General features: G+C 41.4%; 1 protein-coding gene and 1 long non-coding RNA gene across 48 annotated transcripts in view, besides 1 other annotated feature; both read right to left on the bottom strand.

Annotated features, from left to right (window-relative positions):
* ERC1 (ELKS/RAB6-interacting/CAST family member 1) overlaps positions 1-26,514 on the bottom strand; it is a 505,975-nt gene that overhangs the window by 24,398 nt on the left and 455,063 nt on the right. The gene's annotated exons all lie outside the window — the stretch shown is intronic.
* Positions 4,796-26,333, bottom strand: LOC124902856 (uncharacterized). Its single transcript, XR_007063156.1, has 2 exons — positions 24,870-26,333; positions 4,796-23,244 (listed from the first exon to the last, which is right to left on the bottom strand). It is a non-coding gene; the product is annotated as an uncharacterized LOC124902856 (long non-coding RNA).
* Positions 25,305-25,806: an enhancer, noted in NCBI's record as "OCT4-NANOG hESC enhancer chr12:1554896-1555397 (GRCh37/hg19 assembly coordinates)". NCBI's record gives its function as "activates a minimal SCP1, AML or CMV promoter by ChIP-STARR-seq in naive and primed H9 embryonic stem cells {active_cell/tissue: H9 hESC(naive and primed)}" and the evidence as "EXISTENCE:reporter gene assay evidence [ECO:0000049][PMID:30033119]".

Raw genomic sequence — 26,514 nt, 5'->3', positions numbered from 1 at the left:
CAACACTTCAGTTTTAAACCGTTATCTGGACAAAATCCAGAACAAATGTTTGCTTTCTGATGATTATATTTTGTATTCGCAGATGTCACCAACATACTCATATCTTAATTTCTAACTTACTTATGTCTAGACACTTCTAAAATTCTGGCTGTCTTCCTGCCTAAAGCATTCTTCCCTAGCTGAGATAATTTCAGTTTTTTCTACGTGATAGTCTGTGCCTACAGCAACTTTCCAGATTATCCTCTTTCCTGAAAAGTTATACCTCTCTAATTTTTTAGAGAAAGGGTCTCGCTGTGTTGCTCAGGTGGGTCTTGAACTCTTGGCCTTAAACGATCCTCCTGCCTCAGCCTCCTGAGCAGCTGGGACTACGGGTGTGTGCCACCATGCTCAGCAGGTTTTATCTTGATGTGGGTGTTATACCTTTTCTGAACAAGCTGGGAAGGGAGCTGAATAGCACGGGAGTTTGGCAAGAGAACAGAAAACATGACTATAAAAGACAAAAATGGGAATTAAAAAAATAAAACTCAACAGGAGATTTACATTGGTCTGATGAGCCTCTATACACTAAGAAAACAGGGGACCATCTCTTGTATAGAAATGTCCCTGGAACACCAAAGGAACTGTGACGTGGTATCCCACTCAAAGAACAAGCCAGTTACCCTTCTGTGTGGAATGCTTGGACGAAGTACAGTCCTGAAGCAAGAGATGGACGGATGGACTCTGGAAGTCTTTATCAGGCCAAAGATTTGCAGATGCAGGCTTGAGAAAGTGTGGAGTATTCTAAACAAAGAAGCAGATTTCCCAGTGAGGCAGATTTTTAATCTGGTTGTCTAAGCTGATTTGGTAATATCTCACATTATTTCTTACAAATCTATTAACTGAAGTGAACAGAGACGTTCAAATTAAGGGCTCGTCGTTATAAAAATGGAGAAAAATTTCCCTCCTTACCAAAGGGACCCATCAGAGCAGCAGCAGGGCTCTGGGAATCGCAGACACAGCCAGGTTAGCTAGTCCGCCTAGCGTATTTGGTTTGGCTCTCAGAAATGAAAAGTGTCAAAAGGGAGAAGATGAAGAAAAAAAAAAAACAAAAAAAACCCCAAACCCAAACAACTAATAAGAAACCTAATGCTGAAACTGTCAGGGTGGTAAGAACAAGGCTTTGTTGCAGTTAAGATTTAAGTGCTAAACCAGCACAAAGCCTGATCCACGTCCAGGCAATCTCTCAGGCCAGGCAGGAAGAGAGAAGGAAGTTTCCCCCCAGCCACAGTGGCACGTGCTCAATGCACCCTCTACGTCCAGGGTTGCACTCTGCTATTTCCAGTGCGTGGTATCTGATTCTAGGGCCACTGTGACAGGGAGAAACTGGAATGGCTCCCACAGAGAGCTATGGATCTTGCTGGATTTTTTTTTTTTTTAGTATAAATCTGATACATTCTCTGGGTGGTATCTCCTGACTCCCTTGTGAGATGACGAAATGACCCTTTGATGTGATACAAACTCCTGGCCCCGTAACTCACAAGGGCCATGGAAGGGGTTCCACGACTGCCAGAGCTCTAGGGTCCCGTGGGCTGCTCTGAGTGACCCCGGGGCATACCTGCCCAGTTCATGGCACACCACAGGGACATGGCAAGTTGTGTCTGACTTGGCTGGCATTGAGGAGGATGGGGGTGGGGTGGGGTGGGGCCTGGAGTTGCATGTTACTAGTTTTGGATTGCTAAAGGGAAAACAGTACTTTATGTGATTTGAAAGCTCTTGGGGAAGGTTGGGGTTGAAAGAAAAATATTCCCACAGCCCCCTAAAGCTCAGAGAATTTTGTTGTGTGTTTACTTAGGTGAAGAAGGGTGAGAATGAGGGACTCCCGGGACGTTTCCAGTCCAGTCTGGCTCAACGAATGCTTAAGGCTCTCCATACTTGTGAGTGCAGTTCCCCCAGAAAGTGTGGGTGAAGCCACGGAGCTCCAGGACCCACATGGCTTCACACAGTTTATTCCCACACGGAGGGGAGGCGAAGCCCACACCACAGCAAGCACTCTGGAAGGACCGCCAGGTCCTTCTTCTTTGCCTCTCTTTCTGAGAAAACAGCTGGAGAGGGCGGTGGGCCCACCCCTCCGAAGGAGCCAAGGGAGAGAGTGAGCTCCACACAGACCAAAGGCATGGAATCACCCACTGAACACAGCCCGTGGAGGCTGCTCCCAATCAACAGCTGCCCCAGCTACTCCCATGTTGCAGCACTTTCCAACGATCCCAATGCCCGTATGACAGCTGCTGGCAGCCTGCAGGGTGCCACACCAGACAGTGCTCAAGAGCTGGGCTCAAGGCTCCCACCAGCAGGACAGGGAGAAGAGAGCTGCGTGGAGTCACAGCCCTGCAGGAGACTCTTAATAAGATATTGTTAGTTATCTACTCTTCCTTTTTCTCCCTGCAAGAAATCCATAGTGCTTGGTTAGTGCACAACACCTAGCACAGACATGTATCTATCTGCTGTTATGCATTCCTGAAACACTCTGCTTGCACTAGAAGGCAAATGTCCCTGTGGCATCCTGCAGAGGAGTTAACATTCGTGAAGGAGAACAGTTACAGACAGAGATGCCTCTGACAGGCTAAGAGGACTTTCTTCCCAAGGTTGCACAGGGAAGTAGTGGGAAAAGGTCTGAAATGGAAGAAATGTCTAGTTCTAACTCTGCCACTTAGCTTTACCATCTTGAGCCTCTCTGTCCTCAGCTTCATTATGTGTATAAAGGGGAGATTAGATGATTTCTAAATTCTTTCCAGATTTAATAATCTGTGGCTAAATACAGCTCATCCCTGGTTTGCCTTATAAAATAACAGTAGAACAGTGATCCCTGAGAGCCTGCAGGCTCTTTCTTTCCTTTCTTTTCTCCTTTCTTTCTTCCTCCTTTCCTTTCCTCTCTCTCTCTTTTTCTGTCTTTCTTTTTTGATGGGGTCTTGCTCTGTTGCCCAGGCTGGAGTGCAGTGGCATGATCTCAGCTCACTGCAACCTCCACCTCCCGGGTTCTAGCGATTCTCCTGCCTCAGCCTTCCAAGTAGCTGGGACTACAGGTGTGCAACACAATGCTGGGCTAATTTTTGTATTTTTAGTAGAGATGGGTTTCACCATGTTGGCCAGGCTGACCTTGAACTCCTGACCTCAAGTGATCCACCCACCTTGGCCTCCCAAAGTGCTGGGATTACAGGCGTGAGTCGCTGCACCTGGCCCCTGCAGGCTATTTCTAGTTGGAGTTTTTTGCTTTCGTGAAGCCTTCCCCCTGCAGCTTTTCTGTCGTATCATACAGTGCTAAGAAAACTCATTACTCCATCTTTTCCATGAGTCTTTACCTTCTTGCTAGTTGTATTCTGACATCTATCTGTGGCTTACTTACTTTTAGAAGTAAGTATTTTTTGGTTCAAATTTAGGCTCAATCCTTGTAAAAGGTTGATGTGATTTCTCACATACTGTAGATCGGGAGTCTCCAACTCCCAGTACTGGGTCCGTGTACTGGTCCAGGCCCTGTTAGGAACTGGGCCACACAGCAGGAGGTGAAGGGCTAGCCAGGAAGCAAAGCTTCATCTATATTTACAGCCGCTCTCCATTGCGTGCATTACTGCCTGAGTTCCGTCTCTTGTCAGATCAGCTGAGGCATTAGATTCTCATATGAGCGCAAACCCTATTGTGAACCACGCACGCGAGGGATCTAGGCCGCGTGCTCCTTATGAGAATCTAATGCCTGATAATCTATCACTGTCTCCCATCACTCCCAAATGGGACAGTCTAGTTGCAGGAAAACAAGCTCTGGGCTCCCATGGATTCTACATTATGGTGAATTGTATAATTATTTCATTATATATTACAATGGAATAATAACAGAAATAAAGTGCACAATAAATGTAATGTGCTTCAATTATCCTGAAACCATCCCTTCCCTGCCACTCCCCTGTCTGTGGAAAAACTGCCTTCTGTGAAACCAGTCCCCGGTGCCGAAAACGTTGGGGACCGCTGCTCTAGATGTATCAGGTAGCCTAAAGTTGGAGAATCCTAAGAATAAAGATGCTCAATCATCAGGCCTGGGATACAATGAAGAGGTTAAGCTGGTTTTTAATCTGGCCATTGGGTCCCTCCCTTTTTTGAACCCTCCTTTTCCCAGTCTCTTCCTGTTTGTATCATCCTAGATACACTGGGCACGCTAAGGAGAAACTGACAACACACTGCCCTTCCTAGAAAACTTGCACTTAGAAAGGCAGTGCCTCAGAGAGATGCCTCATTCAAAGGAACAAACCGAACCACTGAAATTTCAGGCACGCAGGTCGGAGCCTTATCCAATATCCCATCACACTTTTCTGTTAAGTTGGCAATAAGATGTTAGTGTCCGAAGTTTGCTTTAGAGCTTACATTAGAAAAGAGTAAGATGTTTCCAGTCTGATAACATTAAAAACTACTATTTATCTTTAACAAGAACACCATGAGAAATCCCATCAATCACAACCTGATCTTTAGGGCTATTAAGCATCATTGCACTTTACAGCAAGATCTGTTATCTTTAGTGTTAAAATTAAAGACTCTCTTTCACTCGTTCAGACTATGCTAGGTAGGGGCACTTCCTTTTGTGCCTAGGTGGTCTTTTGTATAAAAAGAGGTAAACAAAGCAGGAAGATAGCATTTATACAGTGTAGAAGAATACCATAATCTTATCTCCGGAAAATTCCTGATTTCATTCAGTCGCTAAACAAGCACCTACTTCATATTTTATGGCTTTATGTCTCTTACACAACTCTTTTAGAAAGGGCCAGAGACTCAGTGCTTTTCTTACAGCATTCTTTATTGAAGTAACCAGCAGACCCTGAATGGCCCCTAAGGGAGTATTCAGTAATTACTGGACATAACAGATTCGCCAGGACCTCCTACCTTTTAACAGGCAGAGCCCCACAGTTTATTTGGAATGCAGTTTCCAGAGCTTGTTTGACAGTCAGTTATTTTGAAACCCTTAACAATTACCCAAGCAGTAGTTAGGTTCGGAAGTTGTTGCCATGAGCCTATTTTACCCATAATGTCTGTGGTGGGCTGAGCTGTGTCCCCACCAAATTCATAGGTGGAAGCCTAAATCACCAGAACCTCAGAATGATGTGACTGCATTTGGAGACAGGGCCTTTAAAGAGGCGATTAAGTTAAAATGAGGCAGGCAGGGTGGTTCCAAATCCAGTATGACTGGTATCTTTGTAACAGGAGGAAATCTGGACATACAGAAAGACACTGGGGAGCACAGGGAGAGAGGATAGACCACGTGAGGACACAGCGAGCAGGCAGCCATGTATACACCAAGGAGAGGGGGCCTCAGGAGAAACCAACCCTGCCGACCCCTTGATCTCGGACTTCCAGCCTCCAGAACTGTGAGGAAATCAATTTACGTTGCTTAAGCCACGCGGTCTGTGGTATTTTGTTACGGTGTCCCGAGCAAGGTAATACAGTGTTGGTGTGCAGTGCCACAGGACCTAACCACCATTTCATATCAGTTTATACACTGGAAGGCGCCTTCTGAGATCCAACTCCAGACATCAGGATATGTCTTCACTTGTCTCAGTGGCAACAGAATTAGCCTGGTCCCATCTTTCCTACTTGGCACCAGAAGGGGGTCTGGGAGAAAACCCGCGACTGTGGCAGTGGCCCCAGCATCAGCACATTCTCACAGGGCATGCAGGAGATTCTCTAGAAGGCTCAGGGAGTAACAGCAGCAACAGCAAGGAGGCCTCACTAGTGCTGCCGTGGAGGGCTGGGACTTTTGGGACCAGGTGGTACTGCGGGGAGAGAGGCTGTGGCCACACTGCCCCCACCTCTCTAGGGGAAGCGGGGCTTTCAGGCATGGGCACAGGGGAGTCAAGTGGAGAATGGCAGCAATGTCTGTCTGCAAACTGGAGATGGTTCATATTTCAGGGTTCCTGTCTGATTTTACACCTGGGCAGTTATGCCCCACTGGAAGAAGGGTGTGTGGTCTCACACCTTTTTGTTTAAATTTACGTTGGTTGTCTAGAGATTACTGTTGTACAGAGCTACTGTTCCTACAGGAGCTTCACATCCTTCAGGTGTGCTGAGTGCCTCTGGCATGCAGCATTGTAGACACTCTGTAAGAAATTTACGTTACTTGTATTTCTAGGCCGTCTCAGTAAGATTGGTACCACCAAACCTTTTGTAAACAATTTAAAAGTTTGGAAGAAAACTGTGGGCAATTTATTTCAGATGCTCTGACCGGACCGGAAGACTGTCATTTCCACAGTTTCTAGTCCCACTGGCTTTAGGTTTGCAGCATTGGTGCAGGTCACATTCATGTCTCTTTGGCATTCACAAGGACTCATTTTCTTCTCAGCTTAGTTGGGGGAGCATCATCTCTGGAAGATGACACTGGCGATGACAGACCCGCGTTCAATGACCTGGATTACAGTAATTGTCAAGACTCATTAAAATTCCAGGATGGTAAATAATTCTTCCTGCAGGAGCTCAGGGACTCAGGAGGGTGAACTTTCTTCTCCCATGGGAATACGTTCAACACAAAGGAAAAAAGCAATTAGGGCAGCTAAAATACACTAAGATCTCCATAAATGCTGAGCTTTTTATAAAATATTTTTATAAAATATTTCATATAATATTCCATATTCATATTTTAGGACTCTTTTTTAAAGAGTCCAGTGTGAGGCCAAGCTAATAAAAACTAGATTAAAAAAGGCTTTTGTGGCCATGCACCGTGGCTCACGCCTGTAATCCCAGCACTTTGGGAGGCTGAGGTGGGCAGATCGTGAGGTCAAGAGATCGAGACCACCCTGGCTAACACGGTGAAACCCTGTCTCTTACTAAAAATACAAAAATTAGCTGGGCGTCATGGTGCACACCTGTAGTCCCAGCTACTCGGGAGGGTGAGGGCAGGAGAATTGCTTGAACTCGGGAGGGGGAGGTTGCAGTGAGCTGAGATCGCTCCACTGAACTCCAGCCTGGGCAACGGAGCGAAACTCTGTCTCAAAAAAAAAAAAAAAAAAAAAAAAAAGGCTTTTGCATTCTTTGCTGCAAAGCTGAAGGTACATGAGAACTGAATTCACAACAGGATGTTTTTATGTTCAGTTTTATTTAGACCTGGTGAGTTTGGGGTAGGTACCAGTAATAAGGATCAAGAGCTGCCGTAGTTTAGAGGTGAGGGGAAGACCTGATAGGCGAGCCACGAACACCAGAACTCCCCTTCTCTGAGATAAGCTATGGAAGGAAATGACTGGAACAATCTTTTGTATCATAATGTTTTGGTCTACAGAGGTCTCCTAATATTTTCTCTTTCCTTCTCTTTCTGCACAAACAAGATTATTCTACATTTAGCACAAGGTCCCACATATACACCAAAACTCCATGAGGAGTTCTCACATCCATCGGGAGTGAATTGCAAATAATACTTAATATCTGTGTCATTGCAACTGCGTAAAAGAGTTCCTTATCTCCCTTACACTCACACTCCCATTTCCTCTTTCTTTTCCCAACTTCATTTGAGGGGATTTTATCAGAAGCAGGGCAGCCATTCTGCATTGTAAGGTCCAACTTAGTACCCTGTCTTCCCCCGGACCTTTGGTATGTCTGCCCAACCTTCCCCATATTCCCTGCCTCTTTTTTTTTTAAAGCAAGCTTTTCCTTGCCAGAGATTTCAACATCCAATTGGCAAGATACCCTTGTCTTCGCATTAAAAAGTTAATGGCAGCTGTCACAGAAGAAGAAAGTGCCAGACTGTGTGTGAGAGCAGAGAGGAGAAAACTACTCAATAGTGTTTCTCATCAGTTTGTCAAGACACACACACACACACACACACACACACACACACAGTCTTAGCACCCCAACCCCTCTCTTCCCGTTCTCCAGCGCAGTCCTGATACGGACACACATTTATCTTCACAGTTCTGCAATTCTTTTTGCTGGATTGCTGGACTTGCCTCCCACAGTCTCTCACACTATGCTGCCCTTAGGTTTTTTGGACAAGAGTTCAGCATCTGAGTTGAGGAAACAAGTTCAAACATCACAAAAAGAAGAAAACCAGATCAGAAACATTCAGGCTGGGAACCAGAAGAAAGTTTGCTGCCCCACAAAGAACCATTCTTCTTTCTTTCTTTGTTCTTTTCTCTCCCTGCTGCCCCTCAGGCCCTGTCCCCCAACAGCTACATCCATTTGGCTACTTGAGCGATACACCCATCTGTGCAGGCGCGTTCAGGAGGGAAAAATGAACTGTCATGTCTGTGACTGATGATTGATGCGGTCCCGGAGTGAGGGAGATGACTCCTAGGTTCTGTGCCTAACACTGCCCCAGCATTAACACCCCCTAATCCACCACCTTGGAAAAAGAGGGGTGCAAGTTAAAGAGTAAGTGAGCAAAACCGAGAAAACAAATGGAGAAAGGAATCCAAGGAGAGGATAAGTCTGAGCCAAGTTTTGGAACAATACTTCCTGAAAATTAAAAATGGGACTAAGTGCTGGGAAAGGGACCTGGAATCCAAAGCTCAGTGAGCCACAGAGGGGCTGGCTGATGAAAGTTGATTCCACTGTGGTTCAGCCTCTGATGGGAGGCTGGCATTTACGGTGGAAAAAAAAAAGAAATTTGTACTCTAGAGAAAAATTATATTTTTAGCTTTTTAGCAGAATCTGCCTATCAGTTGTACTACTTCAAACAGTTCAAAAGGAGACTGGAGGCGGAGTATTTTTTTTAAACGTTGCCATATAACAAAATGTACAGATCTTTAGGTGTACAACTGAATGAATTTTGATGAATTTATCTACCCACATGGCCATCTCCCCAGTCAAAATATAGGACATTTTCATTACCCCAGAAGGTTCTGTTTTATCCTCTTTCAGTCAATTCCTATAAGTAATCACTGTTCTAATTTTTACCACCATAATTTATTCTGTTCCTGAATGTCATATAAATGGAATAATACATTTAGTACATAATTTTTTGTGTGTGTCTGGCTTCTTTTGCTTAACACAGTGTTTCTGAAGATTCAGTTGTTTGTATTAGTAGTTCATTCTTTTCTATTGCTGAGTAGTATTCCATTAATGATATATGATCATTTAAAAATACCTATTCTCCTGTTAATGGACATTTGGGTTGTTTCCACTTTTGGACTTTTTCCAGTAAAGCTGCTATGAACACTCTTGTACAAGTCTTTTTGTGGACATATGCTTTCATTTCTTTTGAGTAAGAATAGGATCCCTGGGTTACAGGATAGATGTACATCTATAAGAAACTGCTTCTCAGTTTTCTAAAATATTATGCCATTTTACCCTCTCATCACAGTGTATCAGAGTTCCAGTTGCTCCATATCTTCACGAGCATTTGGTACTGTCAGTTTTGTTAATTTTAGCTATTTTAGTGATACTGTAGTACTATCTCTTTGTGGCTTTCATTTGCATAAACACTTATTCATGTGCTTACTTTGTATATTTGGAGAGTCTGTTCAAGTCTTCTGCCCATTTAAAAACTTATGTTGTTTTAAGTATCTAATAGATACTAAATATCTATTAAATATCTTTTGTTACTGACTTTTAAAATATCTTCTCAATACAAGTACTTTGTCATGTGTGTATGTGTTTTTGTGTGTGTATGTATGTATTTAGTGAATATTTTTTCCCAGTGTTGATGAATAGAAGTTTAAAGTTTGATAAAGTCCTATTTACCATTTTGTTCTCTTAAGTTTAGTGTTTTATGTCTCTATGCCTGCTGAATTGGGGGTAGTTTTAGCAATATATGTTAGGTGCCTTTTGGTTAATATCTGGAATTAAAACACATTTCTTTATTAAGGCTTAAAACAACCACCCATTGCTACAAAGGCTCAGTTTTATTTTATTATTATTATTATTTTTTGAGACAGAGTTTCGCTCTTGTCTCCCAGGCTGGAGTGCAATGGTGCAATCTCAGCTCACGCAACCTCTGCCTCCTGGGTTCAAGCTATTCTCCTGCCTCAGCCTCCCAAGTAGCTGAGATTACAGGTGCCCACCACCACGCCAGGTTAATTTTTGTACTTTTAGTAGAGACAGGATTTTCCCACATTGGCCAGGCTGGTCTCGAAATCCTGACCTCAGGTGATCTGCCTGCCTCAGCCTCCCAAAGTGCTGGGATTACAAGTGTGAGCCACTGTGCCCGGCTCAAAGTTCAATTTTAGAGCCAAAAACGTTGGCTTTATCTAAAATTCCTGGGCGACAAAGGTTTTAAAAACGAAAGCTGCACTTTCAAAAATATTCAATCATTCAACATACAGGTTATACATGTCTCATATTCATATATAATCCATATGGCTAATTGTATGAGATGATCTGTATCAAATGGGTACAATATTGACAAGTATGGTGAGGTTGGGATGGGCACTAAGTGATGGGGAGTCAACCTTAGTTTTTAAAACTCTCCAGAAGGAAATTCTACAACATTCTTTTGAATTTTTTCCATGTTGCTTAGTTTTATAGTCAGACAGCTGTTCCCTATGTTTAACTAAAATATTTCTTTTGTAATTTAATATATTATCTTGGTCTATCCTAAGTGGAACTAGAAAAATGAAAAAAAAAAAAAAAAAAAAAAAGGGCCTCCTCATCGTTTAGGCAAGTCTTTATCCTATGAAAACTGCCTTTTCAAAACAATTGTTCATTTTTCATTCCTCCTTTCTTCCCCTTTTCAACTATTTTACCTAATTTATTTTTTATGGAGTTCAAGTTAGGATGTCACATTCAAATACTGTCCTAAAACTGGGAGGAGGGGGCTATTATACATCCCTGTTATACTAGATAATAGACAATCAGGGTTAGAAAAACACCACCACCACCACCTTAGAAACAAGCTGACTCAAATCATCTTGCAATCCTGAATCCTTTTTATAACCCAACTGAGTAGCTTCTCTCCAGTCAAAAGGACTTATTTCAAATATGGCTGCCCATTCTTTTTGTGGAGAGATCTAGGAAGTTTCACTTTCTGTTAAACTTAAACCTGCCTTCTTGTAATGTTTACAATTAAACACTGTAATGGTAATGAAATGGATGTCGCATTCAAACGTATTTACCTCTTGTAATGGTGCAGCGATGGGTGGAGCTTGGTGTAACTGGCAGCACTGCTCATGGGGTAACACCGACTCAGCCCACACAAAGCTCCACCTGCCACGGCACCATTTTGCGGCTGCCTGTGGGTGTTACCTTGGGGTTGGCTATTTAGGCTAATACTTGTATTTTCAATACTCCTGTGCCTCTCAATTTTCACAAGAGGATTAAAATCTTAATCCTAGTTTACTGATTTAAGTTTTTAAAAACTTTTTATTTTAAAATAATTTCAAAAGAACATCTTATACCAGAAAGTAAGGAAGTTTTCCAAGAGTAGTGGGCATATATTAGAAGGATGCGGGAAACATCTTGGAGAATTTGAGCATTGAAATAAATGATTATAAAATATTATAACTCACTGAATAAAACAGAAATCTTTAAGTCTATTCTGGTATAAATTTCACCTGGATTCCTTAACTGCTAACATTTTACATTTGTCATATCATTCATTAATTAATTCTCTATCTTGATAAATATACATGTGTATACACATCTGTCTCTATCTGTATCGTTATCTGTATCTCTATCTATATCACTCTATGTATGTTTCCTGGTGTTAAATTCAGGTGATTGTTTGGCAAGAGTACCACCTGTGTTCTTCTCTGTGCCTATGATGAAGAGGCACACATTGACGTGTCCCACTACTGGAGATGCTAACCTTAATCACTTGGTTTAGATGGTATGTGTCAGATTTTTCCAATGTAAATTAACTATAAATACTTTGTGCTAATTAACTGACATACATTTTTGTGTGTTTGACGAGATACTTTCAGTCTATGCAAATAGTCTGTTCTTAGTCAACCTTCACCTGGTGTTTTCACATTCATTGATGATACCTGCCTAAATCAGTCACTACTATAATGGTGCCAAATGCAGATTCTCTAATTCCATAATTCCGTCTACATTATGCTGGCATTCAACCACAGGGTGGAGTTTTCCTTTCTCCCCCATTTACTTGTTCATTCATTCATTCATTCATTCATTCACTTCTTTATACCATCACAGACTCAAAGATTTCTATTTTATTCAATAGAATATTGATTATTTCTAGTCCAGAGATCTGAAAGAAATTTCTCCCCCTGGGTCCTCATAAAAAGTCTAATTGTAAGCAACATCTTCAGCATCCTTTCATATATATAGCCATGAGGTTCAGAGATTTCTTTTTTAAAAAAAATCTCAGCAATATCATAATGTCAAAGTTCATTTCATAGAAACCATTTTCTAGGAGACCCTAAATTAAATATTGCTGCCCAAGTACTCAGAAACCTAATGTATTATTTGATATAGGAAATAAATTTTCAAGTCTTTGGAAAGATTTAGGCAATACTCTCTCTATATTAGTTGTTATAATCTGTTACTATCTTTACTTATTTTGATGCTCGAATTCCTCAAGATTTTCCCCATGTTGTTTTGATACATCCCCACCACTCTTGGAATGCTTCCTTACTTTCTGGTATAAAACTGTTCTGGGATTATCACGTGCTTTCCCACACACAGCCCTAGACTCAGTCATTTCCCCAAAGAGCTCTGGTTCCTTCTGGTGGGAAAAGGCATCTAGACCAACATTTGAGTAGTAAGTGAGCTCTCTGTTACTGGGTGTCACTGCTTCCAGGTCCCTTCAGCAGATAAGGTTAGAAAATACATACATGCTTTGGGAAGCCAAGGTGGGTGGGTCACCTGAGGTCAGGAGCTCAAGACCAGCCTGACCAACATGGAGGAACCCTGTCTCTACTAAAAATACAAAATTAGCCGGGCATGGTGGCGCATGCCTGTAATCCGATTCAGTTACTCGGGAGGCTGAGGCAGGAGAATCACTTGAACCTGGGAGGTGGAGGTTGTGGTGAGCCAAGATCGTGCCATTGCACTTCAGCCTGGGCAACAAGAGCGAAACTCCATCTCAAAAAAAAAAAAAAAAGAAAATACATACATGTGTATATGTGTATACATACACATATACACATATATAAACACACATACACACAGAGAAATCTAAATCTATTTATCTGTTAAAAACCATGAATTCATATCAATACCTCTAAAAACAATCCAATACGATAGGATTTGTCTTTACTCTTTCTATATCTGGTACTCTTATCTCCTATAATAACAAACACACTATCCTCAATATATTAGCTCCAATATATTTACTCATTTGCTTGATCTCCTGGTATGTAACCAGTCTCTCAACCATGTGGGCCACTTTCTTGGCCCTGGCCTGCTATTTCCACTCATGCTAGCTGAATCCTCAGCCCTCGCCTCCCAAAAATGTTGGCCATGTGGGCTGGCTTCTTGGTCTCAGCATGACAAACACACCAGCTATGCTAGCAGAATCCATGGTCCTGCCAAATGCCCAGGGCATGATCCTGAGGACCAGCTCCACTACCAAATATGCCAACCATGCTGGTCAAACCCAGTGCCTTTGTCCTGCCAGTCATTTTGGCTATATCAGTTGAACACTTGGCACCAGCCTCACTGACCATGCCAGCTGATTCCTCAGCCACCATTAAGGGGAAGGGGCAGATTGACTAACTTTTTTTTCTTTTTCTTTTTCTTTTTTTGAGACAGGGTCTCGCTCTGTGGCTCAGGCTGGAGGGCAGTGGTGCTATCTTGGCTCACTGCAGCCTCAACCTGCTGGGCTCAAGTGACCCTCCCACTTCAGCCACCCAAGTAGCTAGGACCACAGGCATGCACCACCATACTTGGCTAATTTTTTTTTTCCTTTTTCGATTAACTTTTAAAGTGTATGACTCTATACTTGAACACTGAATAGCTGCATTCTGGTATCTGTCAAAGACTAGATCCTAAACATATTGCTGCTTAATGTATAAAAAAATGGTTGAGACAACTAATATTTAGAGAGTACTGCCTAAATCTTTCCAAAGACTTGAAAATTTATTCCCAATATTAAATAATATATTAGATATTTGAGTAGCAATATTTACGGTCTCCTAGAAAACGGTTTTTATGAGATGAACTTTGGCCTTATTATATTGCTGAGATGTTTCTTAAAAAAAGAAGTCTTCTGAACCTCACGGCTGTACATATGGAAGGATGCTGAAGATGTTGCTTACGATCAGATTCTTTATGAGGACCCATGAGGGAGGAATTTCTTTTTCTGTTTCTGTTTTAATATCGTGGGGTACTATAAACTGCATACTACAGACATGTCACTTAATGGTGGGGATACATTCTGAGAAATGCATCGTCAGGAGGTCTTGTTGTGGGAACATCACAGACTGACTTACACAGACCTAGGTGGTATAGCTGCTACACACCGAGGGTGTCTGGTACAGCCTATTGCTCCTAGGCTACAAACCTGTACAGCATGTGACTGTACTACGTACTGTAGGCAACTGGAACACAGTGGTATTTCTGGATCCAAACATATCTAAACATAGACAAGGTACAGTAAAAATATGGTCTTATCATCTTACGGGAGCACTGTGGAACATGGGGTCCGTCATCGACTGAAATATTGTTATGTAGCACATGACAATAATTAAATCTCTGACAATGCCTGCGAGCTCACTCCTGGCTTCACCTTATTTTTTCTCTCTTCATTTTCTCTAGATTATTAGAATTATGGGGATGGGAATGCAAGAGAACACAGTTCTTCTGGTGATTCTGAGGGCCCCACCCTCTCTGAGAGCTGCCACCCTCTTTGAGAAGTACAGCTCCAGAACCACTCACTGCATCTGGAGTACTGTGAGACTCAGATCCGAGCTTCTGCTTGCTTATTCCATCTTCTGATGTGTGCTCCCCCTTGGCCTCACATTACAACAATATTATAAATATAACTTCCAATTTTATATAATTCAAAAGAAGTAAAAAACATAACATGAACTAGATAAGAAAATTACCTTGAAGAGATAAAATAATGGCTGTTCTTCAATGTATACAAGATATTTAGAAATAATATCTTCTTGGTCATAGGGTGTCTCAAATCTGACCTGACCCAAGTTTACTCAGCTGCTGGAACTTGACAAGATTGCAGCTAGGGGTAAGGTGGCCCTGAATTCATTATTTCAACAACATACGCTTGGTAGAATCTACAGACAGGAAACCCAAAGAAACAGAAACCAAATACTTAAGCCTTCAAAAAATACCTGCAAACCAAAATATTTAAAGTGTGTAGAATTAACTACATATAGTTAGCCAAAACCAAATCTATTTAATCAGACTATCTGACTTTGGCCAGTTGGTGTAAAATCACGATACATAAAATTTCTTCAAATTAGGATACTTTGACTGCAGAACAATATTACGCCCCAAATTGGTCACCACGTTCACTTTATAACTACATGAGCCATTGCACTGGTGACAAATTGCAAAGTTGAAGTTTATTGTTGCAGGGAAATTGTGTTACACAGCACAGTGGTGAATGAATAAGAGAGCCATAGGAGGCCCATAAATGTTTCCTCACCTCATTGGAAAGCTGAACACAGTCACTTGCAGCTATGAGAAAGATCATACACCTGAGTGTGGTCTTTCCAATATCTGCACCTGTGGATATCGAACTTTCCCACTCCGTCGCATCTTTCGAAACTAAGGAATTAATGTGTAGCACATGTTCAGTACTGCCTTTTAAAATCATACACAGTGTTTATGTAAAACTCACTGTTACCCCTCTCAAAGGAAGCAGGACTCAAATCCTTGAGTTCTATGAAAAAGTTTGAAATTTTGAAAATGAAAAACGGTTCGCATTTATATACAAGGGAAAGGCGACTTGTCAAAAACGTTCTCATTGAAGTTTTCTCACAATTTTCATGGAGTTTCTTAAGAGCCACTAACGCAACTCCCTGAGTAGATGTTAGTTCTACGTGAGCTAATGTCAGTGCTGGATTCATGGAGGCACTAACAAGGCTTCCTGTCCCACAGACGGCAACAGGGCTTGGCGGTGCAACCAGCACATCTTATACATGAGGAGAAATTCTAAGCGCAGTGCAGAACCCCTGGACCTGGAATTTCAGTGATCGGCGATTCTGAAAGCTAAGTAACAGTGGTCAGATACGGGAGCATCCTAAAGTAAACAGAGAAGATGCTGAAATCTAAAACTGAACTTGAGAGGCCAGGAAGGGGGTTGGGGCGTGCTGAAGAGAGGCTGATTAGTGGGTTAAAATATAGTTAGATAGAAGTAAGACCTAGTGTTCCACAGATCAATAGGGTGACTACAGTTAATGTTAATCTGTTGTACATTGTATGAAGATTAGAAGAGAATTTCAAGGTTCCTAGCATTAAGAAAGGAAAGTATTTAGGGTGACAGATATCCCAATTATTCTTATTTATATTTACACAGCATATGAATGTATCAAATTATCCACACTCCAAAAATAAGTATTTCTATTGCGCAGCAATTTAAAAAACTCCTGAATTTAATAAAACCTTTTTCTTAGTGCTGGGTCAAGACACTTCGTACCATAATTGTGTTCCACCTTGACATTACCTCAATCTATTTCCTTTAAAGAAGGCTTCTTTAGGGCTTAGGCCCCTAAAAAAATGGTCTAAGAATCACCCTCTCTGAAAAATGTCAAGAATATGTTTTCTTCTATTATCAAATGACTAGAGGGCCTGAGTTCAGTAAGTAATAATGAACTGACAGCCTAAGTAGTATGAGACGATATATTTTAAATTTATATCACACTCAACAGTATTGTACATTGTTTATGGAAACATATATGTATTAAAACGCTAAAAATATGGACTGTAAAAATGCACACCAATTTAGGATGGTGGCTGTGCCACTGTAGTTGAAAAAAGAAAAATACAGCTGAGAAGAGATACAAAGAAGACTTTAATTATTATTAGAGGCAGGAAAAAACAAAGTGTTTTTCCTAATCTCACAGAGTCGGCACAACTCTCCTGACCCAGATTCTCCAGCAGACGCCAACCGGGTGTCCTAGAATTTAATTCTGACACTAGTTACCTGGAGACAGTGTCGGACTTCACAGATTAAGGGCTCAGTCCCACAGTATCCACCCTCCAGCTTCAGATGCCAATCACAGGTTGTGACCTGTGCTTCTGACTGACCAGCTATAAACCGGAGTTCTCAGGATCTCTTCCTCGGATTAGGTTAATTTGATAGAATGGCTTATGGGACTTGGGGAAACACTTTACTCATGTTTACCCATTTATTACAAAGGATATTTCAAAGGATAACACAAATGAACCGGCAGATGAAGAGATGCACAGGGCAAGGCACATGGAGAGGGGTGTGGAGCTTCCGTGACCTCTCTGGGCACCTCCAGCACCTCCGTGTGTTCGGCTGGCTATCTGGAACCCATCTGGACACTATCCTTTAGAGTGTTACGGAAGATTCATTAAGTAGGCATGATTAATTACATCATTGGCCACGGGCAATCAACTCAACCTGCAGCTCCCCTCCTCTCTCTAGAGGCTGGGGTGTGGGCTGGAGAGTCCCAACCATCTATCACAGGGTTGGTTCCCTTGGTAACCAGTCTCCATCCAGAGCTCCCAGCCACCAGTCATCTATTAGCATTAAAAAAACAAACACGCATCACTCAGGGGATTCCAAGAGTTTCAGGAGCTGTGTATAAGGAACTAGGGACCGAGACCAAATGTGTATTTCTTATTATATCACAATATCATACTATATTTAGCATTAAAAAGGATCTGAAGAAGATAAGACAAAGTAATATTTGTTAATTCTGGGTATAAAGGTAATGTTATATTAATCTCCATATTTTTCCAAATGTTTGAAATATTTCATTAAAATTAATTTGATACAATCACACACAATAAAGAAAAAAGCCTGGGGACAAAAATAGAAATTATATATAATGTAAAAAATGGTAAGAGAAGGTTTTCACAGAGGAAACTTTCTTCTGGAATCCTCTGCAAATAATTTTTTGTGACTCCTAAAATATGCATGTTTAAGATTGCTTTCTTCAATCACAACATGGACACAGAATGACAGGGAGCTTGACATCAAGAAAGCCCGGAAGTGAGAAGACATAAGGCCAAATTTTCCATGCTCAACATTTTAGAACAAGGGAAAAGCTGTGTGCTTCTGGGGGTAGGGCAGCAACCTTCATGGCCTCTATTCCTAGGCTAGAGAATTGGTACAAAATCTACCCTACCTCTTGTGCTGACATTAGGCAAAAGCAAACTGTTGCCAGGAAGGAGACAGGGAGTCCAGTAGGACCCCAAATTATGAATGGATTCAAACTAGAAGTCTGCTGCTACTGGGGAAGGGGTAGGAAATCAGCCGACAGTCTAGACCTGTGCTGAGTAGGGGGGAGATGTTGTCTGTCACTGGGGGTGGGACAGAAGTACCAAGACCAAGACTGGAGCAGGAAAATGAAGAAGCCACTCCTGCCCGACCCTGAGTCTTCACTGAGTAACAAGAACAGTCTACTGCTTAGAGAAGAACAAGAGCATGGAGAGAGGCCCTCTGCGGTGCAGGCATGAAGGACATGCTGAAAGCTGAGAGAGAAGCATGAAACAGAAACATCGGCACCACAGAGCTCACATTAAACGTATGAAAGTGGCAATCCACCACTGAAAAGCTCAAGGCCTGTGGCACCATGAAGGTAACTAGAGTGGAAAGAAGCCCAAACCCAGCTCAATTAGTGAGTTATTTGATTCAGTCCCCAATGCTAATGGCCTGACAGAAGAAGAGGAAAGTATATTTCCAGACATAAGTTTTATTTACCTTGGTTTCCACTGTTCTTTTTACTTAGACTATTTAACATTTAATAAAAAATTATGACACACACACAAAAAGAAAGTGAACTTAAGTATAGATCAATATAAATTATCCAAACTAATAACAGAAAACTTCAAGTATAATAAGAAAATATAGAAAACAAAACAAAACAGAAATCCAAGAGATATGGGACAATATCAAATGATCTAACAAATACATAATGGTAGTTACAAAGGAGAAGAGAGAAGTGGGCAGAAGATATATCTGAAGAGATAATGGCCAAGAATTTTCCAAAATTAATGAAAGACAACAAAACACAGATCCAGAGCAGGGGCTCAGAGAATTCCAAACAAGATAGATATACAGAAAAACACAACTAGGTACATTATCATCAAATGGTTGAAAACTAAAGATAAAGAGAATATTTTGAAAGCCTCAGGAGAAAAAAGAACATGGTATATCAACCAACCAACCAACCCACTCACCCCAAAACAAAGCTACATGAATATAGCAGACCTCAACAGAAACTATACAAGCCAAAAGAAAATGGAACCACATCTTAAAAGTATTAAAAGAAAGAGGAAAAAAAAAATCCCTGTCAACCAAGAAATCTGTGCCCAGAGAACATCTCAAAAACAAGGTGTACAGTTTTCTAGGGCTGCCATAACAAAATACCAGTCTGGGTGGCTTAAACAACAGAAGTTAATTTTCTCACAGTTCTGGAAGCCAGAAATCCAACATCAAAGTATTAGCAGGTTTCATTTCTTCTGAGGCCTCTCTCTCCTTGGCTTACAGATGGCCACCTTCTTGCTTTGCCCTTATGTGGTATTTTCCTGTGTGTGTGTACCCTGGTGTGTCTCTTAAAAGGATATCAGTTACAATGGATTAGGGTTCACCCTAATGGCCTCATTTTAACTTAATTATCTCTTTAAAGGTCTTATCTCTAAATATAGTCGTCACACTTTGAGGTACTGAGGGTTAAGACTTCAACATAGGAATTTTGGGAGGGGGGACACAATTCTGGCCATAACGGAAGTTGATAAAAATACACTCCCTCATACAAATAAAACATAGAATTAATTACCAGCAGATGTGTACTACAAGACATTTAAAAGGAAGTTCTTTTTTAAAATTTATTTTTAATTTATTTTTAATTTTCTGAGACAGGGTCTCATTCTGCAGCCCAGGTTGGAGTGCAGTGGCGTGATCATAGCTCACTGCAATCTTGAACTGCTGAGCTAAAGTGATCCTCCCACCTGGGCCTCCCGAGTAGGTGGGACTGCAGGCACACACCACTGTATCCAGCTAAATTTTTTAAATTTAAATTTAAATTTTTGTAGAGATAAGGGCTTCACCGTTGTCCAGGCTAGTCTTGAACTCCTGGCCTCAAGCAATCCTCCTGCTTTGGCCTCCAAAAGTGCTGGGATTACAGGCATGAGCCACTGCTCTCAGCCTCAGTAAGTTCTTTAGAGAGAAGGAATATGATGACAGATGGAAATTCAGACATACACAGATAAAAAACAAAGATTTTTGAAAATGGTAAACATATGAGAAAAATATTATTTTATAATCTTAATCTCTATAAAATATAAATGATTAAAATAGACAAATGGGACTTCCTGAAAATAAAAAAATGTGTGCATCGAAAGACACTATTACCACAGTAACAGTGAGAAGATAACCACAGAACGGGAGAAAATATTTGCAAATCGTATATCTGATTAGGGATAACTATCTAACTATGTAGAGAACTTCTAAAACTCAGTAACAACAACAACAGAAAACCTGATTTAAAAATAGGCTGAGAACTTGAATAGATATTTCTCCAAAGAAAAAACAGAAATGGCCAATAAGCACATGAAGAGATGCTCAACATCATGAATCATTAGGGAAATGCAAATCAAAACTATGTGATGCCACCTTACACCCATTAGGGTGGCTACTATTTAAAAAACACACGAAAGACTACAAAATAACAAGTGTTGGCCGGGATATGGAGAAACTGGAACGCTTGTGTACCGCTGGTGGGAATGTCAGTTGGTACAGCCGCTGTGGAAAACAGTACGGTGGTTCCTCAAAAAATTGAAAATAGGGTTAACTCATAGTCCAGCAATTTCTCTTCTTTTGATTTTATACCAAAAGAACGGAAAGCACAGTCTCGAAAAGGTATTTATACACCCGTGTTCACGGTAGCACTATTCATGAGAGCTAAAATGTGGAAGCAACCCGAGTGTTCATCAATGGAGGAATGAATAAGGAAAATGTGGTATATAAAACAGTAGCCTTAAAAAGGAACGAAATTCTGACACAGCATTTCCTTAAACAAGGTGCAACACAGACGAACCTTGCTACATGAAATACGTCAGTCACAAAACGACAAATACTGCCTGATTCCATTTATACGAAACCCTTACAGGAGTAAAATCAGAAGGCAGATGGAATATGGGGCAAGGGAGAATGGGGAGTTACTGTTTAACAGGTATGGCGTTTCAGTTCTGCAAGATGAAAAGAGCTACAGAGATAGATGGTGGTGATAGTTTACGTTATGAATATAACACTGAACTGTGCACGTAAAAATTTTTAAGATGGTAAAATTTATGTTGTGTATGTTTTAGCACAATAAACAATAAAAAAAGATAACTGATTTAAAGCAAAAACAGTAACAATGTACTATGGCTTTTATAATATATGGAGGAATAAAATGTATGCCAATGATAGCATAAAGTTTGAGACAAAGGAAATAGAAGTATACTATTGGCAGATTCCAATACTATACCTGAAGTGGTATACTATATTTTCAAAATTTGACTATGATAAGGTAAAACTGTACACTGTAAACCACAGAGTAATCACTTAAAAGGGGTGGGGAGTTGAGCTTTAAGCCACTAGTGGAAATAAAATAAAATAACAAAAAAAAATTACTTTAAAAGAAAACAAAAACAGAGGAAAAAAATAGATGAAACAAATAAATATAAAGATGATAGGTTTAACTTTACTGTGTCAATAATTATATCAGGTGCAAATATTCTAAACACTTCAATCAGAAGACAATTACTGATTTGATATATGTTCTCTACAAGAAACCCACCTTAAATAGAAAGACATAGTGTGTCAGCCCATTCTCACGCTGCTATGAAGAAATACCCGAGACTGGGTAATTATTAAAGAGGTTTAATTGACTCACACTTCTGCATGGCTGGGGAGGCCTCAGGAAACTTACAATCATGGTGGCAGGAGACAGAAGTGCCAGGCAAAGGCGGAAAGGACCCTTATAAAGCCATCAAATCTCATGAGAAGCCACCCACTATCATGAGAACAGCATGGTGGGTAACAACCTCCATGATTCTATTACCTCCCACTGGGTGCCTCCCATGACACGTGGGGATGATGGGAACTACAATTTAAGATGAGATTTGGGTGGGGACACAGCCAAACCATACCATTCTGCCCCGGCCCCTCCCAAATCTCATGTCCTCACATTTCAAAACACAATCATGCCTTCCCAACAGGCCCCCAGCATTAACCCAAAAGTCCAAGTCCAAAGTCTCATATAAGGCGAGGCAAGTCCCTTCTGCCTATAAGCCTGTAAAATCAAAAGCAAGTTAGTTACTTCCTAGATACAATGAGGGTACAGGCATTGGGTAAATACACCTACTCCAAATGGGAGAAATTGGCCAAAACGAAGAGACTACAGGCCCCAGGCAAGTCTGAAATCCAATAGGGCAGTCATTAAACCTTAAAGTTCCAGAATGATCTCCTTTAACTCCACGTCTCACATCCAGGTCACGCTGATGCAAGAGGTGGGCTCTCAGGGCCGTGGGCAGCTCTGCCCCTGTGGCTCTGCAGGGCACAGGCCCCTTCCAGCTGCTTTCATGGGCTGACAACTGAGTGCCTACAGCTTTTCCCGGCGCAAGGTGCAAACCAGCGGTGGATCTACTGTTCTGGGGTCTGGAGGATGGTGGCCTTCTTCTCAGAGCTCCACTAGGCAGTGCCCCAGTGGGGACTGTGTAGGGGCTCTGACCCTGCATTTCCCTTCTGCACTGCCCTAGCATTGAAAAAGACAAAGTTCTTGTCCTGTCCTCATGGCGGTGGTGTTGGTGGCAGCATGGTGGCAGTGAAATGCATTGGAGATATGAGGTGAAAAATGCAAATGTCAGGAGCAGAAGGCTCTGCATCACAAAAACAAAACTACAAAACTATAAACAAAACACGCACACAAAATAAACCAATATGCATATTTGGCAGTGACTCACATCTTCTGTTTCTTGGCCGTTAAAGCTGAAGTCAAACTCTGATCACAATACTTTCATAGGCAAGTCATTTTGTATTGTTAGACAGCCTACATTACTTCCTTAAATTCTTACTTGGGGTAAGGAAGCACGAAATGGGTTGGTTTCTCCACCAACCTTTAGAAGCTATGAAGAAGCTTATAGTAGGGGTTGTTAGTTACTGTATTCCTCTGTAGATGACCCAGGTCTCTCGTTTCGCAGGGACTGTTGGGGAGAATACAATTTCACACACCTCAAACAGTAACTTCAGTAACTGAAGTACATTCTCAATTAAAGGGAAACATGACAATATTAACGGAAGTCATGTGTGTGAGCACAATTGTTTGGATGAGTGCAGTAGCTTGACTGTAACACAATCTGCAATGGGAAGTCTATTAATCAGGTTTCATTCACTCAAAACTTGCTGAAAAATCAGTTTGAAATTTTCTATCTTGGTATCACTCTGAAGATTTTTTTTTCCCCTTGGTAAGACTGAGTTAAGTCCATCTAGGCATATTGAAAATACAGGACTGAGCAAAAATATCTTTTCCATTTCAAAGACAAGCTGGGCAGGCATGGTCACTCATTCCTGTAATCCTAGCACTTTGGGAGGCCAAGGCAGGCCGTCTGCCTGAGCTCAGGAGTTCGAGACCAGACTGGGCAACATGGTGAAACCCCATCTCTACTAAAATACAAAAAATCAGCTGGGCACGGTGGCGCGCGCCTGTAGTTCCAACTGTTCGGGAGGCTGAGGCACGAGAATTGCTTGAACCTGAGAGGTGGAGCTTGCAGTGAGCTGAGATCGTGCCACTGCACTCCAGCCTGGGTGACAGAGCGAGACTCTGTCTCCAAAACAAAAACAAAAACAAAAACAAAAACAAAAACAAAACAAAGACAAACTGTTTTACAAAGGAATAATTTAATGCCAGTTAAACTTTAATACATTAATAAGCACTGGGTTTTTTTTTTTTTGTTGTTGTTGTTGCTGTTTGTTTGTTTTTGAGACGGGGTCTCACTCTGCCACCCAGGCTGGAGTACAGTGGCACGATCTCAGCTCATTGTAGCCACGACTGCCCGGGATCAAGCCATCCTCCCACCTTAACTACCTGAGCAGCTGGGACTACAGGCGTGTGACACCATGTCTGGATAATTTTAATTATTTTTAAAGACGAGGTCTCTCTATGTTGCCCAGGCTGGTTTTGAACTCCTGGGCTCAAGGGATTCTCCCACCTCAGCCTCCCAAAATGCCGGGATTACAGGTGGGAGCCACTGTGCCCAGTAGCACTGCTTTTAAGAAGCATCGTTTTTCTGCAAAATTCTGAAGCAAAAGTCTCTAAAATGAATAGCCATGTGCCTTGTTTCCAATGGGCTTTTGGTTGCACTGTAGTTGTGTATGTATTTATTTCCATTACATTTTTAGTATATGGTTATCAATATCAAAAAGAGCTATTAGGAATTGAATTTAATACTGTCCTTTTTTTTTTTTTCGTTTTAGAGACAGGGTCTCACTTTGTCACCACCCAGGCTGGAGCACAGTGGCACAATCATAGCTTACTGTAACCTTGAACTCCTGGGCTCAAGCAATCCTCCTGCCTCAGCCTCCTGAGTAGCTGGGACTACAGGTGTGAGCCACAGCACCTCGCTGAATTTAATACTGTTCGTTACATTTTTTTCCTCTTTCAAGAAAGAAAGAGATTAAAATTCCTATGTCAACACGCTAAATTTGAGAAGTTGGCCTTGTCTTCACACATCAAATAAATGATGGGTAACTAGTTAGGCTGTGAAATATGTCCGTGTATTATTAGGCAACATCCACATCACGGGAAAGTAAGTACAGCTCTAAGGCTCACCAGTTTGCATTTCTTGACTTGCGGGTTTTCACTGTCATCTTTAATATCACACCACAGGAAGTTCTGTATTAAATACAATTTACCTTCACACACGAGTAAACAAACAATATTTAAGAAATAGAAAGTATTTAGCTAGAAATAGTAAGTAGCTTCAAAGTTCTGATGAAGAGTTTTAGTAAGTTTACACCACCTGTGCCTTTCTTTAGCCTTCTGTTGGTATGATTGAATCTATAGGGGGTAAGGAATATCACTGACTTCTATCAGTAAACTAGGAGCAAAAGGAGCTTTAAGTTAATATTTCAAAAACTGACCTATTTTTCTCTTTTTCTGTTTCTATGTCTCAATGTTTATTCACTTTTTCTTTCCTTCACTTTCCATGTCTGTACTGTATGCCTGTTCTCATCCTGTCTTCTGTTTCTTTTATTCCTGATTTTTTGTCTCCAGGCTAGCCTTACCCTGTCTTTTACTGCATTAAAAATCACAACATGTAAAAAAGAGAATCACTGGATTTTTACAAGTGACAGTAAACAGAAAATGTCGTCTAGGGAGTACTATAGATGGAATGTTTACCCTCCTCCCCTCAATTCATATGGTGAAATCCCAACCCCCAACGTGATGGTATTAGGAGGTGGGCCTTTGGGAGGTGATTAGGTCATGAGGTCAGCAGCATGCGACAGGACACAAGGAACCAGAAACCAACCATGCTGGGGCCCTGATCTGGGACTTCCAGCCTCCAGAACAGAAAGCAATAAATGTCTGCTGCTTATAAGCCACCCTGTCTGTGTTACTTTGTTTTAGCTACCTGAATGGTCTAAGACATGGGATTAACCTAAACTACTCAGACTTTCCTTCAGTGGCTACCGCTTCATGGAATAACCGATGGCAATGTTAACAGATCGTCCTTAGCCTTCTCCCTTATAAATCAGCCCTTTCGGATACTTGAGTAAGTTACACTGAGCCAAGAATCGTACTTCCTTCAAAAGGTAATTCCAAATATCTGTTCAAGACTATTCATTGCCAAGAAACTTGAATCGAAGAGGAAAATGGTGGTTACCAGGGGCTGGAAAGATGTTGCTGAAAGTTACAAAATATCAACTAGACAGGAGGATTACCTTCAGGAGATCTAGCGTACAACTGGCCGGGCGCGGTGAATCACGCCTGTAATCCCAGCACCTTGGGAGGCCAAGGTGGGAGGATCACTTGAGGTCAGGAGTTCGAGACCAGCCTCGCCAGCTTGGTGAAACCCCATCTCTACTGAAAACACAAAAAACTAGCCGGGCATGTTGGCACGCGCCTGTAGTCCCAGCTACCCGGAAGGCTGAGGCAGGAGAATGGCTTGAACCTGGGAGGTGGAAGTTGCAGTGAGCTGAGATCATACCATTGCACTCCAGCCTGGGCAACAGAGCAAGACTTCATCTCAAAAAAAAAAAAAAAAAAAAAAAAATCTACTGTACAACATGCTGACTATACTTAATAATAATGTATTGCTGAGAGTAGATTTTAAAGTGTTTTCACCACACACACACAAAAATGGAAAGTATGTGAGGGAATGTATATGTTAGCTCTATTTAGCCATTCCACAATGTATACATATTTCAAAATTACATGTTGTACATGAGAAACATACATTTTTAATTGGTGAATT

Source organism: Homo sapiens, chromosome 12 (genome assembly GCF_000001405.40).
Source record: "Homo sapiens chromosome 12, GRCh38.p14 Primary Assembly".
In the NCBI taxonomy this organism is placed as follows: Eukaryota; Metazoa; Chordata; class Mammalia; order Primates; family Hominidae; genus Homo; species Homo sapiens.
The sequence above is the reverse complement of the archived record's forward strand: the minus strand, read 5'-3'. Positions and strand labels throughout refer to the sequence as shown.